We start from the raw sequence: 21,504 nt of genomic DNA on the forward strand, positions 1-21,504 counted from the left end.
CATCCAAGTGGCACAGTTCTGTCCTTTAAATTATAGCACAATCATAACACATCATCTAAACTGGCTTCCTTTTGAGAGTGAAAGAAATATTATTAAAAATATGCCAGAACAATAAGCAGAAACTTAGATTTTCCTGGGCAATCTCAGTTTGCCCTGAGCAATCCAAACTGTATGTTTAGCCTATTAAATTGTATCCTACAGTTACAGAGGCTATGTTTTGAGTCTCTAACTTGATTTTCAAGTTAAGACATGGTATTTCTAATACTTATATTTGGAAGGTATACTCTTAGATTTTAAAAGAACAAATAAGTTATAGTTTAATACTTGTCACCATGATAAAGATAAAAACTAACACATCATGCTTACTATGTGCCAGGTCATACCTAAGGGTTTGATTTATTTCAACCCATTTAATCTTCACAACAAAGTTATAAAGCAGGCTTTGTTATCATCCTTATTATAGAGATGAGAACACTGAGGCACAGAGAAGTTAAGTATAATAACTTGCCCAGGGTGACATAGCTGGTGACTAAAGGAGCTGGGATTCAAACACTAGCAGTTTGCTTCCACAATCCATGCCCTCTCTACTAAACTTAATGTGTTATGGACAGATTGCAACTTATGCCAGGCATCTAACTGTACTTTTCCACATGATAATTGGTATGGGGTAGACAGTGCAATGGTTTGAGGAATGCTTAGGAGCCTAACATATGTAGAGCAATTATGAGGAACTTCAGGAATGCTCCAAAGCATAGCTTATCTGTCAAGAATGTCTTCATCCTGGATGGGTCTTACCTTTTAAAAAAGAAGATACTGTTTTTACGTTAGAAACATAAAATTTGTTAATTTTTCAAATACTAGGCTGAAAACAATAAATTTCAGATCAGTAAGAAGTAATCTGAAATTAGAAGAATAAATTTTTTTAAAATGTTATGCACTTATGATTTAATACTGTATCTTTACATTTGTTTACACTTACCTCAACTTCGAGTTGTACTAGGTATGGTCTCTGTGTGTGTGTAAATTCTGATAAATGTTAACTTTTTTTTTAACAGAATTGTACTTTTTTTATATTGTTATACTTTAAGTTCTGGTATACATGTGCAAAAAGTGTAGGTTTGTTACATAGGTATACACATGCCATGGTGGTTTGCTGCACCCATCAACCCGTCATCTACATTAGGTATTTCTCCTAATGCTATACCTCCACTAGCCCCCCACCCCCCGACAGGCTCCTGTGTGTGATGTTCCCCTCCCTGTGTCCATGTGTTCTCATTGTTCAACTCCCACTTACGAGTGAGAACACACGGTGTTTGGTTTTCTATTCCTGTGTTACTTTGCTGAGAATGATGGTTTCCAGCTTCATCTAAGTCCCTGCAAAGGACACAAACTCATCCTTTTTATGGCTGCATAGTATTCCATGGTGTATATGTGCCACATTTTCTTTATCCAGTCTAACTTTGATGGGTATTTGGGTTGGTTTCAAGTCTTTGCTATTGTGAATAGCGCCGCAATAAACATACATGTGCTTGTGTCTTTATAATAAAATGATTTATAACCGTTTGGGTATCTACCCAGTAATGGGATTGCTGTGTCAAATGGTATTTCTGGTTCTAGGTCCTTGAGAAATCACCACACTGTCTTCCACAATGGTTGAACTAATTTGCACTCCCACCAACAGTGTAAAAGTGTTCCTATTTCTCCACATCTTCTCCAGCATCCATTGTTTCCTGACTTTTTAATCATCGGCATTCTAACAGGTGTGAGATGGTATCTCACTGTGGTTTTGATTTGCATTTCTCTAATGACCAGTGATGATGCGCTTTTTTTCATATGTCTGTTGGCTGCATAAATGTCTTCTTTTGAGAAGTCTCTATTCATATCCTTTGCCCACTTTTTGATGGGGTTGTTTGTTTTTTTCTTGTACATTTGTTTAAGTTCCTTGTAGATTTTGGATATTAGCCCTTAGTCAGATGGATAGATTGCAGAAATTTTCTCCCATTCTGTAGGTTGCCTGTTCACTGATGATAGTTTATTTTGCTGTGCAGAAGCTCTTTAGTTTAATTAGATCCCATTGGTCGATTTTGGCTTTTGTTGCCATTGTTTTGGTGTTTTAGTCATGAAGTCTTTGTCCATGCCTATGTCCTGAATGGTACTGCCTAGGTTTTCTTCTAGGGCTTTTATGGTTTTAGGTCTTATGTTCAAGTCTTTAATCCACCCTGAGTTAATTTTTGTATGAGGTATAAGGAAGGGATCCAGAATTTGGTATCAGGCCAATGAAATTAATGTCTGGTAGACTTTTAAATGTCATACCTCTGATTCCAATAAAATATTATTCTTGATTAAGATATTAAAATCCTAGATATGGGTTGAAACATATATGAAACAAAAAGAGTCTCATTGAAGGTTTTGTATGAAGAAATACAATTTAAATAAAACTTAAGTAAAATTATTTTATAGTTTAAGAAACATCCCTTACACAATAGTATCAATTATAATGTTATCTACCCATAACATTGCATTTTAAAATTTCAATTCTTTCATTTTCCTGCTTCAAAATTACTTTTTAAATGACATATTTCAATGATTAATTATGCACTCAAAACAGAAAAAAAGTACAAATTTAAAAAGCAACCAAAATTAACAAGCCACCAAAATATCTGAAGTAATCATTGTTAATAAAACTGGATCATCAGGGCTGGGCGCGGTGGCTCACACCTGTAATACCAACACTTTGGGAGGCCAAGGTGGGCGGATCGTGAGGTCAGGAGATTGAAACCATCCTGGCTAATATGGTGAAACCCCATCTCTACTAAAAATACAAAAAATTAGCCAGGCGTAGTGGCGTGTGCCTGTAGTCCCAGCTACCCGGGAGGCTGAGGCAGGAGAATTGCTTGAACTCAGGAGGCGGAGGTTGCAGTGAGCCAAGATGGAGCCATTACACTCCAGCCTGGGCAACAGAGCAAGACTCCATCTCAAATAACAACCAACCAACCAAAAAAAAACACTGACTCATCACTCAAAATAATGCATATTTGTATGCAGAAGAATAGACAGATAAATGATTTCATAGCAATAGTGTGCTTTTTAAATTAAAAATATTATTTATAATTTCGATTGCCTTTAACAGAATTTAAAAACTGAAGTGGAACTTACAGAATTTCTGAGCTCTAGATACAAATTTATTACCACCTGTGATATAACTTCCAAATCATTTGTCTGAGATTAAGAAAAATATGATGAAAAACATCAAGAGCATAAAGTAAAATTTTAAAACATGTTGCAATTTTTTTCTCGTATGGAGTGGGGTCTGCTGAAAGATGAGAAATAAGCACACAAAGATGTTCCCATATTTCCTCTTCTGATCCAACTTCCCAACGAACTAAAAGCTACCTATCTTGAACTATGCAGTTTTGGTGTTTATACATAGGAAAATATTTTGGAGGCATGGTGGTATGTGGAAATTCCTGTTTCATAAATTAAAGTCATTTGTCAGATTGGCTAAACAGCTATTTACAGAGCATCAGTTCCTTCCAAATTTTTAAGCCATGTTGTTATATGTACATTATCCAAGTTAATGATATGAATTTTCTCTGATTTCTACATTTTCAACTCTTTGTTTTTATTTTAGTGGATTCAAAACCTGCTGTCCTTTTACCATTGTTTTTCAGTTCTGCACTTTAGTAAAAGTCATCCCTTGGGACAAAGTAGGTTTTTTTTTGTTACATTAAGTAGGTTTTTTGTTTGTTTGTTTTGCCTGCTCTATTTTTTTTTTTCTCCAGAAGGTTCATGCCTGTTTCATTTCCTCCATGAATGAGAATGTCTTCTGGTTTCCTCTATTCTTGAATGATAATTTGGCTGTGTATACATTTTCATTCATGCTTTCTTTACTGCTTCACTGTCTTTGTGTGTTGACAGATGCCTTTCATCTTTTACTCCAGCATCTCCAATCAAGCATCTTTGGTTGGATTTTTGACATCAAGTGATTTCTTTCCTTTTTTACAGAAAGGGCTCATGACTTGTATATTCCCTGACTATTTTTTTGGTTGTTGCTGTTTTTGTTTATAAAATGTCTTTCTGTTGCCCTTATGTTTGTTTGACCACCTCAGTTGGGCATAATAATCTTTAGTTACAGTCTTTCCTACTTGCTATGGTTTGCATGTCCCCTTCAAAACTTATGTTGAAATTTAATTGCCATTGTGATGGTATTAAGAGGTGGGACCATTAAGAGGTGATTAGGTCACCAGGGCTCTGCCCTCTTGAATGGATCAATGTTGGTGTCAAGGAAGTGTCCTGTTATTAAAGGGAGTTTGACCCTCTCTTGCTGGCTTGCTCTCATGCTTTCTTGTCCTTCTGCCTTCTGCCATGGGATGACACAGCAAGAAGCCCCTTGCCAGATGTGGGCCTCTCGACCTTGGACTTCTTAGCTTCCAGAACTGTAAGAAATATTTCTTTTCTTTATAAATTACCCAGCTTGTGGTATTCTGTTATAGCAACACAGAACATACTGAGATACTATTGAAGGTTGCTAACATTTGTTCCCCTATCTTCTGATTTCTTTTGACATTGGATTTAGTAGAAGTCTAAGACCAGTCTGACATTTCACCTCTCATTATTTATATACACATATACATGTGCGTGCACACGCACACACACACACACACACACACACAATTTTTTCTGGCTAAAGAATAATTTCTTTACCTACAAAGTTTAAAATTTCGTCTGGACTTTCTTGGTTTAGATTGCTGTAGAAAATGTTCCTAGACTGTAAGGAATCTTTTTGATGATCTGTAATTCAATTCTTCCTTATTTTGCTTGATTATTCTTGGAAGCCTTTTTCTGTCACCTTAGTTGACCTACCTATTTTAGGGACAACGAATTTTTATTTTGCCGGATTTACATTTTTTTTTTCTGCTGTTTCTACCTATTATTGTCTTTGAATCACAGTTATCTAAATATTTTTTCCTGTGTAGAGTCACCATAATTATACTCTTTTTCTTAGTGGTTTGATATTTTATTGTGTCTATTTTTTTCTTGTTGGACATAACTTTGTCTAACTTATTTATTAATTCTGTGATAGTGGCTTTTGCTCCTTAAGTTGCTTCCTTCATTCTGGAATTTAGCTCCCATTTATCATTTTCTTAATGTCCTTCTTTTATAAAATTATGTTCTTATAATCTCCTATAGAAGGGAGAATAAAGTCTTCATGGTGAGTTATCCTCTCATTTTAGATTGTTTCCTTCCAGAATAGATTTCTTATCTGCTTATTTCTTTCTATTATTTTTTCCATATAGAATGTTTTTATAGTTGCCATGCCATTTATTTCTAGGTTTTTTTTTGCATGCTTTACATCAGTAACTCTGTTAGTTGTTTTCAATGCTCATATAGAATACGATCAAATTCTCTTTTATCTACTTCTCTTCTATCTAGAACATTTTAATATTTTCCTCTGAATTTCACTTTAGAGACTGTGGTTGAGTCTGCCTATTTACTCTTAGTCCAAATTTCTCCAAATTGGGGTGGAACATGCAGTATTAAAAATATTCTTAGAAATTGTAAAGTTACTTCTTCCTCTCCATACTGTTAAACTCATCTCAGTTTTCTATTTTTCAGCATAATAAATCTTTTTGTTTGTCTCATCCCCAATTTATAAATTTACAAATGATACATGAACTTATGGAATATAAATGGCGCATGGCCATTGTTTGAAATATTAAAGAAATATTAAAATAGATGAACAGAGACAGAAATGCATATATGTGATATCCTTTCATATTTCTTGGTTTTCAATGAAATAGTCTTTCTTAAAAGTAAAGAGCTAATTTTGGTCTTCTCCAGAAAAAAATTTACCCACATCCCTAAAACCCTAAGAATTCCTTACGGTTCTTAGTTACGCTGTCCACTGTGATATATACTGCATAACATTAATTTCATGGAGTAGAAAAACCAACTTCAAAAATTCGCTAGTGTCTGGAATGACTTTGGTGAACACTGTGGGGAGAGAGCAATAACACTTTGTGAGCAGAAGTGCTACCGCGCACAGGTACCTCATTTACTTTGTTCTCATTTAAAGTTCTCATAAAATTACTTAATTCCATGTTGTTCCAAAATTGCCTTAATTGATTTTCAGACTGCAAGTGTCATCACTGGAATATACTTTCATTTTACTGCTTTGTCTCTGCTTTATTGTTTTGCTCAAAACTAGTCCATTGAGGATCTCTTGATACAAGGCATTTTCTTCTTAGCCATATTTTATTGAAATGTCAACTAGCACTACAGTTTTCCTTTCCCTGGATTTTTGAAACTCAGAGTAATCGTGGCTTTTACATGATACTTTAATAATGTTGCCAATCCCCTGATAAGTTGTTCACATCAGTTATTTAGCCCCAATACTTAAAGCTTGGGAATCACAATGATTCTTTTCACTTTCCGCTTCTGCAATTCTAAGCGTTATGAATATTAAGTTGTACTTGCCCCAAAGCAAAAGTATATTCACAAAGATATTTGCTGAGATCAGGACTCTCTGGGCCTCGTTTTTAAACATAGCATTAATAAGAAAACACCACAAAATACATGACATTTAAAAGTAAGAGAAACAGGAATTTAGAATTTTTCAGTAAAGTTAGAAAATATGTTTATTGATTAAAGTTATCCTTAGTAATGCAACAGAACATCCTACATGAAGCTGTTGTTAAATCCTACCTTTTAAGAAACAATTTATGGGAGTGAAAGAACTCTTGGATTTAGGCATTCTAATTACTACCCTTGAATTGCATTTGTATGAGCTCTCACAAATTTTAAACTTTTTAGACAGTAAAAATGTCAGAAACTGATTCTATGAAGTAAATTTTTATGTTTTCTTTTAATCATATAATAATATTACTTTTGAAGTAAACATCAACTTAACCATAAAAGCTACTTCGTCCTTTTGAGAGTCTGAGCTAATATTTGACGGTGATATATTAAAATGATATAAACATTACAAAAATATCCAGAAAAACAAGTTTCAATCCAGATGGAGTTTCTTGATCCTTGTTTCCTGAGAAAATATGTAAGATACATCATCCAGGAGGCTAAGGGACTGTTTCACTGTAATTAGGGCAGCTTTGAATTTTGCTTCGTTAAGCTAGTGTGCATTTTTACCTTATTCAACCTATAAAGAGAAAACTGGATGATATTTTGCAAATTCTTGTCTAGCCTTTGAAAGAAAGCAGGCTATTGATTTGGAAGTTTCCCCAGACATAGTTGCAGAGACTAAATGATCTCTAAATTTAAATTCCAAAGCGTGCACACGGTGCTGGACAGAGCAATTGCAGCCACAGAATCTTCCATGATCAAACCTTCTAAGGCAAATCAGGGTCATCTATTCTCAGGAAATTTTGACTCTATAAACCTCCCCTAATACAGGAGGTGGAATCTTAAAAAGGCCTTTTTAACAGGAGTGTCTCCCTCAGCCATCAGATTTTTTTTTTTTAGTTTCTTATACTCAGTAGAAAGAAATCTTTGGAGGAATTGTGCTACTGTTAAGCTTGGGTCTCACCTCAAATCCAAAAGAAGTTCAAAGAACCTGTAAATTAGGAGAAACAAAAAGAGAATGGGAAAAAGAAAAACAAACCCCAGCTAATGAAATTATTTGCCTCCAGGTCAACAACAGTAGAAACAAAGGCAAAGACAATGCTCACACCTTGTATAAAAGAAATAAGCAACACGGACATTTAAGTAAGGCAATTAAAACATAAATTAGGTCCAATAATTTCATTTCAGAGTTTTAGAAATGTCATGTTATGTAAACTGCATTCAACCCTTGAGCGTGATATTTAAGGCCCTCAATAATTTGGCAACAAACTATTTTTCCAGCCTTATAACAAATTGCCTCATAAAATGTTCCATCCAAATACCTCTATTGCCAGCAATAATCATAATATATCCCAGGAATCTGGAATACCTGATATAACCAATAATACTTTTAACTTAAAAATTTGTGCATTTTATTTTAATAGAAAAAATACTTTTACTTATTTCCCATCAAAGTAAATCCACGCTCCAGGAAATGTGCTAGGTAAACTCTTTATAGGTCAACCTATTTTCTAGTACATTGTCCTATGTACCAGAAAATATTAGTATTCTAGTATGAGTAGCTGGGAAGTGAAAATACCTAAAGCCTTGAGTTCTAGTCCTGCCCTGCTATTAACTAGTTATGTGATGCTGGCTAGGACTCTTGTATCTTTTCCTGTATCTCCATCTGAAAGACGAAGTCAGATTAGACAAGTGGATTTCACATTTTTTTTTTCTTTTTGGCTTCTGACACCAGTATGTATAACAGATAAAGTGAAGCTTTTCTGGTAGAAGAAGCCAAAGTGGTCATGCAGGCAGTTCTGGGCTGCATGGCTTCAAATCACAGGGCGAAATCGTGTGCAGTCTTCCGGACCTTCTCTTTTGATCACGGTAGTAATATTTTCCCTTACTTTCACTCACTCTTGAATGATTTGCAGCCTCCCTGAAAGTACTACAGTTTCCCTCGTCTCCGTGCTTGTTGACAATCTTGCCTTTGGGCTGAGCTTGTTCTGCACACAATGCTGTCCCATCTGCTATTAAAATTTTGTCCACCTCCCAATGGCTGCTTAAATGATACTGTTTCCTGGAAAACTTCCTCTGTTAGAAGAAACTTTCCAAACTCATGAAAGACTTTGTGCTTTTTATATGTTACTGTTTTGATTAGTTATTTGTATACATGTTTTCTAACTTGCTAGATGGTACACTCCTATAGCAATAGAATCATGTTTTACTTATTCAGAGCAGAAAATAACAAATTGCTCTTGTCAATTATTGTATCTAACATAAATTGATCCTGAAGACTAGAGGAAAGCAATTTGCAGTTGATGTAAGTGTTTTAGTGCAGGGTAGGGTCTGGAATGAGTCAAGCCTTTCATAGTAAATAAAGGCTAATCTTGATGAGACTTGCTCTAGGGCCATTTCTGGGCCAGATGGATTTTTGAGCCAAAAAGCAAAAGAGATGTCTCTAGGTAGATGCAACCTTATGTCAGGACACATGGCTAGAGGAACAAAGTGTGGGCTGGAGTTCAGCCTCTGTGTGTTCCTTCATTTGGGCATTTGTGCAGAGCACTGCCTTTCCAACTTGCACAACTACATGTGTTGGTCTGGCTTGTTTCCTATGTACCTAGTGAGAAATTTTACTCATAGAGAAAGTGAATTTCAATGAATACCTACTCTTCCACTACTCAGTAGCCAACTCTCTATTTCAGAAGACCCTCTCAGAGCTTCGAGTCAGAGCTTGAGTTTCTCAAGTGTTGGGATAGGGACTTGCTACAGCCTTCAATTGCAGGGAAGAAAAGGGAATCTGACACTAAATGTGGGGCAAAGGTGAAGAGGAGACTATGTAAAGGATTGAGGCCAGTAGTGAGGAGGGAGGGAGCCAGGAGAGGGTATATCAGTCTTTTCTAGAAGGCCCTTGTCGTTAGCCAGAGAGGCCAAAAATAACTCCCACACTTGGCCACTCTGGTGAATTTTGCTCTACCCTGCTATAAAAGAACTTCGTATTCTCATTTGACCCAGCCATCCCATTACTGGGTATATACCCAAAGGATTATAAATCATGCTGTTACAAAGACACATGCACACGTATGTTTATTGCAGCACTATTCACAATAGCAAACACCTGGAACCAACCCAAATGTCCAATAATGATAGACTGGATTAAGAAAATGTGGCACATGTACACCATGGAATACTATGCAGCCATAAAAAATGATGAGTTCATGTCCTTTGTAGGGACATGGATGAAGCTGGAAACCATCATTCTCAGCAAACTGTCACAAGGACAAAAAACCAAACATCTCATGTTCTCACTCATGGGTGGGAATTGAACAATGAGAACACCTGGACACAGGAAGGGGGACATCACACACCGGGGCCTGTTGTGGGGTGGGGGGTGGGGGAGGGATAGCATTAGGAGATATACCTAATGTAAATGACGAGTTAATGGGTGCAGCACACCAACATGGCACATGTATACATATGTAACAAACCTGCACATTGTGCACATGTACCCTAGAACTTAAAGTATAATAATAAAAATTAAATAAATAAATAAATAAAAAATAAAGAACTTCGTATTCTTCAACTAGACCAGTGTTTGGTTCTGGAAACTTGGTGAAGCAGTGATGGGTATGACAATGTCCTGTTAGAAACAAGATGAGCATGACATATTCTCACTCCCATGAGAACTTGGCTGAGTAACTGTTGGTTATCTGTAGACTGGCTAGCCCAAAGACCAAAAGTAGCACAGATGACCCCATTTGACAGAAAGGCCAAATTTTATCTTCATTGTCTTTTGTCAAAGGTAAGAATAGAGACTCCTCACACTACGTGGTTCGATACACTTTCTTCAATAAAATAATGAGCCTGGGTAAATTAACTATCTACTCATTCTTAGTGTTTATAAATTACAACATAACTAAACTCTGACTTCATCCAGGAGTGAGTAGATAACTTTAAACTTAAACTGAATATTTTATTTTAGAATGTAAAGTTTTCTCAAGATATGTGTCTAGTCTAGGTTAATAGCCCCACCATCTGCTCAGTCACTCTAGACAGAAACTTTCTCTTTGATATTTACCCTTCCTCTCTCTCCCACTTTAATCCTTGGTTTAAATTCTTTAAAATCTCTTCACAACCTAGAAGAGAGATTCTCAACCTGGGGTTTACCTATTTTAGAGTTAGTTGATCACTGTTTAAAAAACAAACAAACAAACAAACAATGAAATTTCCATGGTCCTATGTATTCATCAGGGTTCTTCAGAGAAACAGACCCAACTGGATATATACAGGCATGAAGGGATTTATTATGGGAATTGACTCACATGATTATGGAGGCTGAGAAGCCCCACCGTATGCTGTCTGCAAGCTGAAGAACCGGAAAAACCAGAGGTTAATTCAGTCTGAATCTAAAAGCCTGGGAGAATCAGGGCAGCCAAAAGTACAGCTCTCAGTCTAAGGCCAAGGGCCTGAGAGCCTGGGGCCACTGGTGCAAGCCCCAGAGTCTGAAGGCCTGAGAACCTGGAGTTCTGATGTCTGAGGGCAGGAGAAGATGCACATCCCACCTTTGAACAGAGAGAGAATTCGTCTTTCCTCTGCCTTTTTGTTTCATGAGGGCCCTCAACAGATGGAATGATGGTCACTCATACTGGTGAAAGCTGATCTTTCTTACTTTGGTCCACTGACATAAGTGCTAATCTCTTCAAGAAACATCGTCAAAGACATCTCAAGAAATAATTCTTTTCCAGCTATTTGGGTATTCCTTAACCCAGTCAAGTGGGCACTTGAAATTAATCCTCAAACCCCACTGTCTAAGCACACTGAATCAGAATTTCTGGAGTGATGGATCAGGAATCTAAGGGTCACTTCTTACTCTTCCATCTCGTCTTCCTCCCCTCTTCTAACCCTATCCCTCTTCACATCCTAGGTTCCAGTCTTGGAAGCCTTAGTTCTCTGCTTATAATATCTATCAGCTTTTCTCTTTGTCATGTTCTTGATGAACTCCTGCTCATCATTCAAACTTAGCAAAAATATTGTTGAGAGATTATTATACACTCACTCCTCACATTTCCATAGTAAAGAAAGGGAGCATCCTCTGCACCTACCAGGAGGAGGCAATATTGATTAAGAACATTTTTAATCCCTCCTGTTCCATAAGGAAAATAGATCGACACACGGCCATGAACAAGACTGTCCTAGCCTTTATGGAAATGTTTAGTTTAGTTTAGGATCTATTTGTCTGGTGTATGCATGGTTTCTGCTACTCTTTATGGCTTCGCACACACAAAAATCATGTCTGGGTCAGGATCAAGGGCCTGCCTTTGCAAAGCAAATCTAGAAGGCTGTCTTTCTATATCCCAGTTCTCTGAGTTCCATGAGGGCAAGCATGGAAAAGCATGTGTCACAGACCAGGTTGGTATCACTTTGCAAATCCTATTTTACCTATTGGGTGGAAGCCAAGGTCAAATATTGGGAAAGTGGAGTAGGAAGGCTAATTTTGGCCACAGTTCTAAGCCATGATACAAACTTTATTTAGCAAATTGGTTATTAATTTGATCTCTTTCTGACTTCCTCCACTCATGGAGTGTGTTACTTACCATTTAATAATAATGCTATAAATGAATGACTGGTATTGGATGAATTTACTGGATGAATAAATAAATGACAGGTGTTGATCGCTTCCAATATTTCAGGGTAGCTTGAGAGAAAACACTTAGAGGGAGCTTTTCTGATTTTCCAGCTGAATTTTCTAAAAATCATAAGCAATCCATTAATAATACTAATCTGATAGAATTGAATAAAGAAATCATTTTCTCATGCTCCCTGTTTCCTTTCCTCTTAGCATGGACCCAGCAAGCAGTTTCTTCCATAATCAAAGGACCTTAGCTACTTGATAAACTGTCTCCAGCTAGCTTGCTTTACTAGAGCTTACCAGATGCTGGGTTTGCCGATTTCTTTAAATGCTACAGTTACATATATATCAATAACTTTCCTATAGTTCCAAATAAATCACCCACATTTATCACAAAACAATTACTTTCAGTAAGAACTTGGGACTGCCAAATAGAAACAAATTTTTAAAAACCTCAGTACATCAAAAATAAAGCAGACAAATCTATTTTATGATAACATAGGAATAGCACTTATTTATCCTTGACAATAGAGAATTTAAAGCAGAACCATTATGCAGCTTTGCTGTTCCCTTTTATAAACGATAAACATTCAACAAGACTTTATGGTCTTTACTGTGTTTTGAGCATGATTGCAGACTTTCAGCTAAAAGATAATCAGAACCTAAATTTGAAGTTGAGCTGTAAACCATGATACCATTGGAACATTTCCTCTGACCCACTCCAGATAACATTCCAACATCGTGAATCACCTTGGCAGTGTTTTGACTGTTGCCTTTCTCAATTGCATTCCCAGCAGAAAATGCTTTTATTTGACCAATTCAATCTTTTCAACTTTCACTTACCAACAATAGCTGATTGCTGTTGTCAAAAAAACCATGTCATAATAACAATGCACTAAACTCTTAACCTGCATGTTAGCTGCATATGAAGAGCTGTTGGAATTGAAGCAATCCTGCTGTGGATATAAGGGTTGGAAACATCATCTTGTTAGCTCTCCTTTCTCTTTCAGAAATTAATATTATCTGTTACATTTTTAGCTGAGGCATCATCTTGGGAGGGGGTTAGCTGCAAAAGTAGTAATCTACATTTTCACCAATATTTAACTATTGGTAGAGAATTTTAGACTTCACAGATTAAGAGTCTTTGTGAAATGATGAAACAAACTTTTATGTGCTTTTGAAGACACATGGAACGTAATTTCTATTCTTAGCAACAGTATTAATTATTATGATAGGAATTGCATTTTAGTACCTAATTTTCTGGGCACTGTCTTGGGTGCATTATCTAATCTGATTCTCATAACAACTCTGTCAAATAGGAATTATTATTTACAGATGATAAAATAATTCTGTGGAAAAAAAATTCTCCTTTTCATACAGCCAATAAGTGTAAAGATTACAGATTAAAAGATTAAATACTGTGTTTGAATTACTACCCTTTGCCTGAACACTTTCCATAGCTATTTTTTCCTCTAAACATTTCTGGCATCAGGACTTAGATCACTCTTCCCTGTACTGAAATGCAGTAAGACTTCCAGGATTTGGAGCGAGAAAAACCTCAAGGACTAGTGTATGAATGACCAAAAAGAATACTTTAGGAAAAATGGTTAGTTACTTCTGGATTTACTGAGCTTGGCATGAGATACCCTCTCCTAGTGCTAGTTACTCTCAAGATGCATCCCAATTTTCCATTTGGAAAACATAGCTTCCATAATAATAGCCCTAGCATACTCAATGAATTTGTTGAACAGAAGTGCATCCATTTTTAGCAGAGGTACTTCAGCAGATATTTTGGGGTATGTTTTGTGGGGGCTATTTGTAGTTCCATACGTTATGCTGTGTAGGTGGCTATCAATTCTGCTGCTTGGTAATCTTGGCCCCAAAGTTATACTGTTTCTAAGAAAAACAAACAAACAAACAAACAAACAAACAAAAAACCTTGGACCTTCTGGAGAGTACAAAGAGCAGTATTCTGGTTCCGGTTCCCCAGAAGTGGGAGAAACCAAGTAAGAAAAGAACCCTGCTGAAAGGACTGGTGCATAATCAGGTAAAAGTCTTTGACAGCAGGGACTTACACTTACACATGAGGATACAAGATAGGAATCCACTTACAGGAACCAGAGCCCCAAATCAGATTGGAATAGCAAAGGGTTGAGCTTCTGAGTTATAGGATTAGGCTTCTTAAATTCTAGATTTGTGACGAGATTGGTTCCAGAGTTGTTGGATGAACAGGTAGGAGGAGTTAAGTAATCAAAGCCAACAGTTAGAAGAGTCAGGCCAGCAAGCAGATAGCTGAGCAGAAAAGCACGAGTGTGTTTACATTTTCTGATTCTTTGATACTGTGGGAAATAGGTCATTTCCAACTGTAGATTTAGGAAACAGTATCCCCTCTCCACTCGTTTCTCCCCTTCCCAAGCTTTTTACCTTTACATATAAATATGTTGTTATTATTCAAGAAGTGGGCCAAATTTAGCTCTTTTGATGAGTGTGTTTTTATACTTTGTTTCTCTTTGAACTATAAAAAAGGAAAAGAACAAAAGAAGGTGTTTAAGGATTTATTTCTGTATGTGTGTGCTGGTATGTCACCCAGAAATGGAATCGATTTATTGTGTTATCTAAAATTGGCTTTAAAAATAAAGCTTCTTTGTATTTTCATAAATTAAGATTGTAAGCTAGGTGTTCTGAAATGTCCCTTCTTCATAGTCATCTTTATGTCATCATATTATAACAGTGGTTCTCAATCTTAGTTGCACACTAGAAACTCTTAGAGATTCTAGTGGAAAAATCCCAATCCCAGGCCACACCCCAAGCCAATTATAATGAAATTACTGGGGATGGGACTCAGACAACAGTATTTTTTAAAACTCCCCAGGTGATTTCCAAATAAAGCCAAGGGTGAGTGAAATGCTTTACACAATCATCATCATTTTCCAACAACAGCAACACATAATTTTATTTGATGTTTAATTTTGGAAGGTAGATGACACACCAGGAAAATTTCTTAAAATGAATATCTGCTTCGTTGCTCCTTGCAGTCTAGAATTTTAGCATTCACTTCTTCCTTTATTCAATAATAAACATATTCGGTAAATATTGATCAAAGGCTAGATGCTGTGCAGAATGCTAAAGATACAGAGGTAAACAAACTAGAAATAACTCTGACCTCACAGAATTTCAGTGTAGCAGAATAGAAAAAAAACAGAGGGTGTCATCAGCTAGTTTTCAACATTTGTGATCCAAGATGCATATTTTAAAATTTCCAAGCTATATTTCTGATATTGTTTAAAAACCACCCACCATCACCAACAACCAAAAAGTCTCCTTCTGTCTAATACATTAAATATATTCGTACCTCCTGATGAAATTCTTCAGAAAAGAAGGGAAGGTATAATATACCATATTCAATGTAGCAACAATCATGGACAAAAAATGAATGAAACCCCAAATCCTTTGTTAGCTGACTGTATACAGTTCTATATCCTTCAACATATTATCAGTGGACATTTAGAGATGATAAAATAGTTATTTCAGCTAAAAAATATACTAGATTGATTGTAAAACAGAGATGCACAGAACATAGCTGAATTAGCAAGTATGTTAAAAGAACTTATAGTAAACATAAAGTTTTTTTTATTTAGAATTATAATAAAATCATTCTTTTTTTTTTTTTTTTTTTTTTTTTTGAGACAGAGTCTCACCCTGTCACCCAGGCTGGAGTGCAGTGGCGTGATCTCGGCTCACTGCAATCTCCGCCTCCCAGGTTCAAGCAATTCTCCTGCCTCAGCCTCCCGAGTAGCTGGGATTACAAGTGCATGCCGATACGCCCAGCTAATTTTTTGTTTCTTTAGTAGAGACGGGGTTTCACCATGTTGGCCAGGCTGGTCTTGAACTCCTGACTTCCTGATCCACCCACCTCGGCTTCCCAAAATGCTGGGATTACAGGCGTGAGCCACTGCATCCGGCCTCTGGCTGAATTTTTAAAGAAGTTTTATTATGTTTCCTGGTCAAATATCATTAGCATATAATAAAGGTATCATGTGGCATACATCTATGTCAAAATTACTGTGGGCTTTGGGGTTCCCTCACTGGGACTAATACATAGTTGAGCTAATTAGTCTTCTATTGTTCTTTTAACAGCAAGGCCAATGAGATATTCTTACTTAGAATGGTAACATAAGAATTTTTTCTCCAGTGGTAATATTTCATAGGAGGTAGTTTTTGAACATGATATTTTAAATCGAGGTATCTTTTAATATAGTTAATTTGTAGGTAATTATAGGGCTATCTATATACATGACATACTATGAATGCTAGAACATTAATGAAAAATTATAACAAATTTCTAGTCCCTTCCTTGAGCATTATCATGCTAAAAAAAACTATAACAATTTTGATGGTTATGGCTGATGCCCTTTTGACTGTTACAATTTTAAAAATAACGTTAGTCAGCTGGAAAGCATATGTTAAAAAGGAATAGCTCAAGTGAAACAAATTCTTTTTGCTTTTGTCTCCAAGTGAACTGCACTGTGAACGGACACAAAATGTGTACGCATTGCCTGAGAGAATTGCAGTATGAGATAAGGTGTATCTGTCGAGTAACTGAAAACCTTTTTCTACTAGCAGAAATATTAAAAAATTGGAAAAACCTGTTAGTTTTTTTTAAATAAAAGTGAAACAAGTCATTTGGTTGTTTTTTTTTTTTAAAGTTTCTTTGTAGGAATATACATTTTTCATGTCAGTTGTCCTGAGGCTGGAAGGTAAATATGGTATGTGAAATGAAGTGCAACTAAAGCACTTTTTGAAGAAAAATTCAAATTTGAGAAATGAAGTTATCGTTTTTATCTTATTTGAGAAATGAAGTTACTGTTTTTATCTTATCTATCAAAATTCTTAATTACAGAATGAGAGGGTTTATGGCTTCCCTCTAGCATTACTTTTCAATGAAGCTGTTTACACTGCTTTTCAATGAAGCTATTCTAACATTATTTAGTAACCCCTCTTCCACGTTCTCCCCTTAGCTCAAAAGATTCTACTCTGTATTTTATAGATATATATGTGTGTATATACATAAGTATAAATATTAGACAAGAGCATATTAGACACACACACATATATATACATATATACATATATACACATATATATATATGAACTCCGCCTCCTGGGTTCAATGTGTATATATATACACACATATATATAAACACACACATATATTTTATATATATATACATATATATATATGAGTAGAGACAGTTCACTGATTTCGATTTGTTAAGAAATGTTTTCATGCAATTGAGACATCAAAATATCTGTATATAATGCCAGCTTTCACTAAAGGTCACATTGTACAGTCAAATTCTGAGAGGAAATGCACAGAATAACTTCATATATTCTCTGGTTCACACAGTGGAATTTTGCTAGCTAGATTTTATATTCCTTAGGTATAAACATCTTTGATAAAAATTGTTTTTGTTTTTAGTAAAAAATGGTGTTGTCCAGGAACTTAGGGCATGTTACTTAATTTGATGATCATTAAAATATGAATAACTATCTGGAAAAAATGAATTTTGAGTATCTTGATTTAAAAAAACCCTTAAAAACAGTGCAGTAAAGTCATTCTCTTTGTTTGAAGTTGGTAATGATGTTCTGGTTTGGGTGCTTTAAATTTTTAATACTGATCTCCAACACCTGACAGATAAATTTAATGTACCTTTCTCAATTATCTCTCTGTTCACTATTCATTTTCCTGTTCCCCTTGGCCATGTTTTCCTCTCTACTTTTCTTCCATCCTTTTTCCCCCCTAACTACCTAAATAAAGACAAAGTTAAAACTGGCTAGGAAAAACTAGATTTCTATTTCATATTTTTCTGTAAGAGACATATACTTTCCAAGTAATAAATTATCTTTACTGTCTTTTTTTCTTTTTCTTTTTCTTTTTTTTTTTTTTTTTTTTTGAGACGGAGTCTGGCTCTGTTTCCCAGGCTGGAGTGCAGTGGCATGATCTTGGCTCACTGCAACCTCTGCCTCCCGGGTTCAAGCGATTCTCCTGCCTCAGCCGTCAGATTAGCTGGGACTACCGGCATGTGCCACCACGCCCGGCTAATTTTTTGTATTTTTAGTACGGACGGGGTTTCATCGGGTTAGCCAGGATGGCCTCAATCTCCTGACCTCGTGATCCACTGCCTCAGCCTTCCAAAGTGCTGGGATTACAGGCATAAGCCACCGCGCCTGGCCAGTGTCTTAAATCCAGAGAACTGACCCATTTATGTTTGAGGATGAAGTGCACATATATAGGTTTGTTTTGCTCCGTTGGAATATTGAAAAAATAACAAACTATAATTTCTTTAGATCATAAGTACATGATTCAAATGATTACATGTGTGATGGTATAAAACTTAATTTGTAAAATTCACTTTCTAGCCACTAGAAAACTAACTCAGAACAGTTTTCCCATTCTTGGTAGATTAGTTCCACTGCTATTTTTGTGCAAGATGACATACAATCAGTAAAGAGAAAAAATTATGTAATTTTTTGACTTATATTTCTCCAAATGGTAGTCACTTATTACCATTATATATTCAAATATTTTAATAGAGCACATATTGTAGTTTATCTAGTTCCTTGAATTCTAAAGCATGACTTGTATAATCACAGGTGATATGTTAATGCGAATTTTTTATTCATTTTTGCAAGAAGGCAGCCAGGACCACAAAATAATTTTATAGTTTGTCTTGATACCTCTTATTAGCTATCTTTATTTCATCAAAATCAGCCCACTCCTTCAAAATAAAATATAAACAGAAAATGTGACATGTCAAATATTAGACATTCCAGCAGAGAATGAATCCTTTTTAATTTAACAAGGAATTAAACAATGTCAACTAATAAATTAGAGTTCACCTTTCATTAAAAATAAATCAGCTAGAATAATTTGACAAATTGCATACTGATAATTATAAGTTATATGTTAACGTAGGTACAGAGATAAAACTTACTATCTCTAAAGCATTCATGCAAATCTCGAAAGTTGCTCTCATATCTGGCCATCAGCACTCAATATCAACTTCCCACTAGACTCCTACTAAAAAACTCCCACTATAAAAACATGAGCTCAGTTGCCAAAAAGTGACAAAAACACTTGCAATAACATCCGATCAGTGCTCTAATGCAATAATCCACAGAAATTCATAATGATAAGGCACACTGTATCATGTAAATTGTATTAATCACTCCAGATTGCCATGGCACTCCCTTTTCTCTACCTTTTTGACTCCACCTGAAGCAGCCAACAACTCATCGGCCTTGAGAGTGGCAGGCCCTCTCTCTAGGCCACTTCTTTGCAACCAGGCTGACCAGTCTTATATACCTAGACTTTTGGTCTCCCCTGACACTCCTGGACCCAACTAAAATACGTACTACAGGTCATAGGATTTGGCATCCTGAACAGCTACCAAAGGATCCAGATGACGCAACCTGGAAGTGTGATAGGGGTAACTCACTCATGAGTAAACTGTGTCCCCTGGGAAGCAAGAGTCAAGAAAAAGCATACAAATAAATTCCACCTTCTTCCTGTATCACATGCACTGCTCCAAGAATGTTTCTTCATACAGTTCTCCTGATAGTTTCAGAATGTCTAGCAGAGATACCTGCGGAGGGACCTGTGGAGGGACTCCTGTGTGAAGTGGTAGTTGACGCTGCAATGCATCACTTTGCAGTTTTGTATTCTTCTTCACCTAACTTTTTTATGCCTCACTTTAGCTGTCCTGGGTTGATACAGTCTAAATAGTCCTTGCCTCAAGCTCTAATTTTTTGGGAATCTGGTATCAAACACACATGAATCTGGATTGAGAAAAACACAATCATTCACTCCTAATTAGATACTCCTGTCTTCATATAATAAAGCATTTAAAAAAAAAACAGGTACACCTACATCCAGATTCAAATTTTCAGAAAATGTATTCACTGGAAAAATAGGCAAACACTCTGCTTACATGGCAAGTAGGCAGAATTAGTATCCACTTTGACTATACATCTTCCTGAGAGAGAGAGGAAGAGAGAGAGCAAAGCCACGAAGATGCCTGGGCAGAAGTGGCAGTGGGTAAGAGGGTGAGAAGTGCTGTCAGCAGCACATGATATTGAAGATGAATAATCAACATAAGTAAACCTGTAAAGATGTAAGAGAAAACATGAATAACTCTGAAGGAAGAGCATGTTGGAAATTCTAAGTTTTCATGTACACCTTATTTTCAGAATGACAGAAACCAGAGAGTATGAACACTAAAAGATTTCATCTCACAAGACAATTTATTTGAAAGTTCTTGGAAACAAACTTATACTGGGAACTGAGCACACAAATTTGATCCTGAGGTGTAGCTTGAAGAAAGATATTTGCCACAGAAGAAGAAAATAAGACACAAAACAATTCACACCATATCTGATAGGAGACATTGTATTTGAATATAGGACACCATTTTAGGAGATCTCTTAAAAGAAAGAAATCCCAGTAACGTGAACTGAAGAAAGAGATAATGAGAATGGCATTTGAAGACTTACATGCAGAAAATACTTCTAAAAATTATCTAATGAATGGTCGAGAAGAAAATTTCAAAAAAAATTCAGCATCTGCAATAGGTTACAAGGAACCATGGCATTTATGAACAGCAGTTATAGGACTCATGAAGGAAAACCTGAATAATATTAAAAGGCAACAGGATTAGAGTGAAAGATAAGATGCGATAAGGAAGAATTGAAAGAAATTAAAAGGTAATAGCAGTTCTGAGCAGAAGTGATGTTGCAGAAAAACGAATCCATGATGTAAAGAATATATTTGAATAGCTCTCCTAGTCATCAAAGGGAAGGAAAAATATATATGATAATAAGAAATAATATATATCTAAGAACAAAACTGGAAAGCCAATATATTGATAATTCTACATCTAAAGAAGAAATTGGAACAAATGAGAAAGATGCACTATTCAATCATAAAAAATGAGAGCAAATATCCCAGCCAAAGGCAGACCATGATACAGATCGAAATAGGGTCACTATTCCAAACCAAGCAAATGAAGATATACCCAGACTGAGCTTAATGTTCTATGTATTAAGAATAAAAATAATTCAATTATAACTCGAGGAGAACAGATTACCTGCAACATAACAAAACAGTATAGCATCCAAACTCTCCTCTACAACATTAAATTCCTGAGTATTATGAAATAATATCTAAGAAATTTTGAGCATAAAAACAATTATAACACAGGACTTTTGTAAAAAAATAAGTTGTCATTTATTAACAAAGGCAAAAGAATAACATT

General features: G+C 35.8%; 1 long non-coding RNA gene across 1 annotated transcript in view; it reads left to right on the forward strand.

Annotated features, from left to right (window-relative positions):
* The first annotated feature begins 4,286 nt into the window (after positions 1–4,286).
* The window catches only part of LINC01393 (long intergenic non-protein coding RNA 1393), a 47,357-nt gene continuing 30,139 nt past the window's right edge, over positions 4,287–21,504 (forward strand). The window contains exon 1 of the long non-coding RNA NR_120521.1: positions 4,287–4,438. This is a non-coding gene — a long non-coding RNA (long intergenic non-protein coding RNA 1393). The remainder of the gene's footprint in view (positions 4,439–21,504) is intronic.

This window comes from Homo sapiens, chromosome 7, assembly GCF_000001405.40.
Source record: "Homo sapiens chromosome 7, GRCh38.p14 Primary Assembly".
NCBI lineage: Eukaryota > Metazoa > Chordata > Mammalia > Primates > Hominidae > Homo > Homo sapiens.